The 5,530-nt window shown below is 52.5% G+C and overlaps 1 annotated feature.

Annotated features, from left to right (window-relative positions):
* Nucleotides 553–1,252: an enhancer, noted in NCBI's record as "H3K27ac-H3K4me1 hESC enhancer chr7:156833123-156833822 (GRCh37/hg19 assembly coordinates)". NCBI's record gives its function as "activates a minimal SCP1, AML or CMV promoter by ChIP-STARR-seq in primed H9 embryonic stem cells {active_cell/tissue: H9 hESC(primed)}" and the evidence as "EXISTENCE:reporter gene assay evidence [ECO:0000049][PMID:30033119]".

A 5,530-nucleotide genomic window follows, 5' to 3' on the forward strand; every position in this document is an offset into this window, starting at 1 on the left:
ACTAACCACATCTTGTTCCGCAGTAAAGTCCCATTCCGAGACACTGGGGCTAGGACTTCCACCTGTCTCTTGGACACATTTCAACCCGCAGCACCACCACTGAGGAAACGCAAGTGTGCTGAAGACGCAAACCTAACACGCAGGAGGCAGGAACCGTCTGAGGCAGCCCCCGGCAAACGTCAGGCTGTGTGGCTCAGACCCGGCACAGCCTCCGCGATGGGAGCTCCGGGGGGGGCTGGCTGGGGACAAGGACAAGCGGACTTGGGAGCGACGGGGTTTGGGCATCTGGGAGACGGGAACTCCTTCCCGGGAGGAAGACCGTGAGGGAGGCGTGGAAGTGGATGTGAGCCGGTGTGCACTGGGCTGCAGTGCGCGCTGCTGGGCCGGTCCGGGAGCCCACACTGTTGGGTGCTGGCTGCTAGAAGCCCACAGCAGGGGCCCGAGGCCCACCCCCTAGCCTCAGGGCACAGCTTCCCCTGTCCAGCCAAGGCTGCCTTACCCAAGCCCTGGTCCTGCCTGTTCCGTGCCTTCTCCCGCAAGGCTTCTTCAACAGCACACCGCGAAAACGTGCAGGCATCGCCCCCAGCACAAGGGTCGCTGCTAGGGAAGCTGCCCTTCGACAGGGCGGGCTGATCCACCTGGAGCATGTGCTGTTTAGGCTGTCGAGGAACGGCCAGTTCAGTGACTGACCCGAGCCTCCAGTTCTTCTTCCACCTTTAAATTCCATGGATGTGGCGGGGTGCAGTGGCTCACGCCTGTAATCCCAGCACTTTGGGAGGCTGAGGTGGGTGGATCACCTGAGGTCAGGAGTTCGAGACCAGCCTGGACAACATGGTGAAACCCTGTCTCTAATAAAATACAAAAATGAGCTGGGCGTGGTCAGGAGGCTGAGGCAGGAGAATCGCTTGAACCCAAGAAGCGGAGGTCAGGGTGAGCCGAGATCACGCCATTGCGCTCCAGCCTGGGTGGGTGACAGAGCGAGACTCCATCTCAAAGTAAATAAATAAATAAACAAATTCCATGGACAGGATTGATGGGCGCCACAGGACATGGAGCTCTAAGGTGAGCAGATCGAGACTGAACACCAGCCAGAAACACATTCCTAGGTGTGAGTTCACATTGTCATTCTTTCTGCTTCGGTCATTGATGTAAGCACTTCTGATTGCAGTGTGGAGAAGGAGCCGGTGAAGGAGACTGCGGGGAGCGGCGTGGCCCCTGCAGCTGCGTGACAGATCTCGGGGTGCCGGCATGGTTAGAAGGTCACCACAGCAGACACATGCTTTACTCTGGCCCATTAGCCCTCGTCTGCATCTGCAAATGAGGGAGGCGGCTGCCTGGGAAGATCAGCTGCTTGTAAATGTTGCATCAGCGCAAACATCTGACTCCTGGACGGACCCGGCACTGGAGCTCAGAGTGTGATTAGCATAATGAAGTGAGGGAAAATATTGACATTTTGTGTATCTGCAGCCTGATAATGTTATATGAAAAGGGATATCTACAATGCTAATGGAAATGTAATTGATGTAAAACTGCAATTCCTACAATGAACTCAGAAGGCAAAGAGCTTACTTGTAAAATAGATAAGATTAGAAGGAGAGGCAGGAATCCCAAGACATTAATCCTGACTGTATTTCTGGTGCCAAGCGCTAATAAGTAAGTGATTGTTTTAATTCACGTAGGTATCACAATATTTATTGTATGCTCCAGATCAAGTTTGCCTGAGGATGAATAAATCAATAAGAGCGTCTCATTACTTGATTTCTTCTCCCTCAGCAGTGTCTGTGGCACAAGCATGCCTGCTGTTATCGATGAGATAAGCGGAGGGAGGTGACTGCAGGAGCCCAGGAGTGGACATTCCGGATGCATAAATAACACGCAGAGATGCGATGCTTTCTGTGGCCCAGCCAAGCCCAGGTGGCCAGAGTTGTTGGTGGATGGACATTGTGGGCCATGATGTTGAGACTGTGGTCTAACATCTGAATTTTCTCTCAAACTCTTTGTGTTGCTTGAGCTGGTAGCACGTGTTTGGACTTCGGAGATACCCAGGACACCAATGGCTGTGCTTGGGCAGGCGAGCACTGCAGGATCCCACACCCTGGTCATTGCCTGGGGCCCTGGCCTCACCTTCCCCTGCTCTGCTGGGGCCCCAGCTGGCTGACCCTGCAGCTCCGCAGACCGCTGGCTTCTGGCTGGATCCTGATAACGAAGGTACAGGTGAAAGACGGGAAACAGAAAGAAGGGTGACACCAGGCGTTTTGAGTCTTGGTGACTCAGTGGGCGTCCCTGGCTGCTGGGTCGTGCACCCCCTGTGGCTCCAGCTGTTCCAGAGTCTGAGAATGAGTAATGTAGGCAGTTGTCACACAATGGTAAGGATTTGCATATCCAAACACGTCGAGCATAGAAAAGGCACAGTGAAAATATGGCATTAGAAACTTACGGGATGATGGCCAGGCGCGGTGGCTCACGCCTGTAATCCCAGCACTTTGGGAGGCTGAGGCAGATGGATCACTTGAGGTCAGGAGTTCAAGACCAGCCTGGCCAACATGGTAAAACCCTGTCTCTACTAAAAATACAAAAATAGCTGGGCGTGGTGGCGGGTGCCTGTAATCCCAGCTACTCGGGAGGCCGAGGCAGGAGAATCGCTTGAGCCTGGGAGTTGGAGGTTGCAGTGAGCCGAGATTGTGCCACTGCACTCCAACCTGGGCCACAGAGTGAGCCTCCATCTCAAAGAAAAAAAAAAAAAAAAAAGATTCTTACAGGACCGCTGTTGTCTATGTGGTCTCGAGGTGACCGCAGTTACATGGTATATGACTGCACTCACAGTGCCTTCTACTCTCCTTGTTGGAATCTGACTCCAGTCCCAGCCCTAGGTCAGGGGCTCCCAAGGTGCCTTCCATTGCTGAGCTATTTGGTGGAACCCAGGGGTAGCTTCTCAGAAGAAAGTGTTTCAGTGAATAATGCAAAATACGTAGGCTTAAGAAGGAGAACACTATACTGGAATATACTTATCAAAACATTTAAACAAATGTGTGAAAGAGCACCGTGTACACCTCTCTGTTAACGCACGAAATGACCAGATCTCTCGGAGGGTCTAACCCTGGCTATTTTGAAGGAATGACGTGTGTAAACAATCTAAGATCTCTGTGAAAATGTGAGGCATATGGAGATGTCTGCACTAGTGTGATAGTAAAAATATCTGTGCTTTCTGCTGGTGACAGAGCCACAGGATGAACTAATACAACTGTGCTTTGTAGTTCACGTTCATTATTGAAGGGCATGTGAGATTTTAGTTGGAAATTAGTGAAAATAAAGATATAATTATTTCTCACTCAGGTTCACGGACTTCTAAATTTTATCCACTGACCTCTTGGAGGGTCTCTAAAATCCAGATTAACAAACTTGCTGGAGATAAATTAAACGTTCCCTTGAATTCTCAGGCTGAGACCCACACTGTTCTTCCCATTTCAGCTGGTGGTTGGTTTTTGAGATGGAATCTCACTCTGTCACCCAGGCTGAAGTGCAGTGGTGTGATCTCGGCTCACTGCAACCTCCGCCTCCTGGGTTCAGGCGATTCTCCTGCCTCAGCCTCCTGAGTAGCTGGGATTACAGGCACCTGCCACCATGCCTGGCTAATTTTTTGTATTTTTAGTACAGACGGGGTTTCCCTATGTTGGCCAGGCTGGTCTTGAACTCCTGACCTTGTGATCCTCCTGCCTCAGCCTCCCAGTCAGCTGGGTTTGAAGTGACCATCGTTCTTTCTCCCGACCGCACAGCTGCCTTCCCCACGGTGTCTGACTCCTTGCAGAGTTAAAGTCGTTGCTCTTTGAGGCTGAATATTCTCAGCAGGCACCTCTGTCTGGGCTCAACAGAAGTCCACATTTTCCCAAAACAGCACTTCGGATGTGAAAGGCTTGGTGTAACTTCCAAAGCCCTCCAGGCTTGTCGTCCCCAGGTTGGTGTGAATCAGTGCAAGCTGGTCCTCTCCAAGCAGAATTCCACTTTTAATATTTTAGGGAAATTATAGAATAATATATTTCCTCGCTGGAGACAGTTTCCTGGCCCCAAAAGAAGCATTAGTCAGCTGTGGCGCAAGCAGCTTTCTTTCCTAATGGAGCCCTGTGCACGCATCTCTGGCCCCACTGGGGTTCTGAATTAGGTCACAGATGCAGACGTTTGCTCGAAGTGGCTGCCGAGCTCAGACCCGGCGAGATGGTGGCAGGCCTCCACCCACAGCCTCCCTTGGTCACCAGAACCACGGAACCGAAAGAAAAGGGAGGCAAACTGCTGATGGAAGAGGGGAAGAAGATCCGCTAAACCAGTTGTCCGACGAGCTTGTCTTTTTTTCCTTTTAATTAAATGAATGGTTCAGATGAAAATTCTCCACATGACTTCTATTTATGGACCCTGCGTTGACAGTATGACTCATGGGGTCCTGGAGCCCTGCTGCGTAGTGACTTGCTGCACACGGTGTATTATTACTTTCCCAGGACCACCGTAACAAAGTAGCACAATCCCGGGGCTTGAACAACGGAAATGTGTCAAATGTGTCAGCTCCCAGCTCAGAGACTGGGAGACCAGGCCGAGGCGCCGGCAGGGCTGGTTCTTTCTGAGGCTGAGGGGGAGTCTGTCCCAGGCCGCCCTCCAGCTTCTGGAGGTTGCTGGCAGTCTCTGGTGGCCCTGGCTTCTGGAAGCATCACCCCACCTCTTCCTGCGTGCTCACCTGGCCTCTCCCCGTGTGCGGTCTGTCTCTGTCTAATCTCCCCCTTTCATAAGGACACAGGCACTCGGGATTAGGGCCCATCCTAGAGACCTCATCCTACCTTGATTACATCTGCAAACACCGTATATCCACATGAGGCTACCCTTACGGGTATTGGGGCTTAGGCTCTGATGTGTGAGTTTTAGGGGACATAATCCCACCCATAACACACATGATCTCTTTGGAAAGTGGAAGCTTCTCAATGCAGAAGCAGCGTCTCCAAGGCCTTCTTGCCTCTCAGACACAGGGTCGAATTCAGAAGTACGAGCTGAGCCAAATTCCCCCAGCCCCATTTCCTGCCTGACACCCCATGCTCAGGTGAGTTGGCCAAGGACTGGAACGGCTGATGCCGATGGAAATCCATGCTTTCTCTGTGACGTGCTCACACCCCACTGCTTTTCTCCCGGTCTTAGAAACCCCCTTCAACCGTGGCCTTGGCGGTGAGCTGTAAACCAGCGGTGTTGGAGCCGATGCCTGTCAGACGGAGCAGTTTATCACCACACTCAGTTGATTAATACCTGTCGGCGGGTGTTCAGACACGCGGCAATGCTGCCCTGGAGTCCCAGAGGTGTCTGTGCACACGGGAAGTGGCAACGAAGGATCCGAGTCTCCCTATCTGCTGGGCAGACCTTGAGGTGGCCCTTGGGTGGAGGGTGGAGGCACGTCAAGCAGGGGGCACAGCCTCTATGCCACGGTGTCTGCCCCTCACCAGCAGGCTAGGGGCAGACTCCCACCCTGGCAGAAGCCTGGCAAGGCAGAAAGGACCTGAGG

This window comes from Homo sapiens, chromosome 7 (genome assembly GCF_000001405.40).
Source record: "Homo sapiens chromosome 7, GRCh38.p14 Primary Assembly".
Classification (NCBI taxonomy): domain Eukaryota; kingdom Metazoa; phylum Chordata; class Mammalia; order Primates; family Hominidae; genus Homo; species Homo sapiens.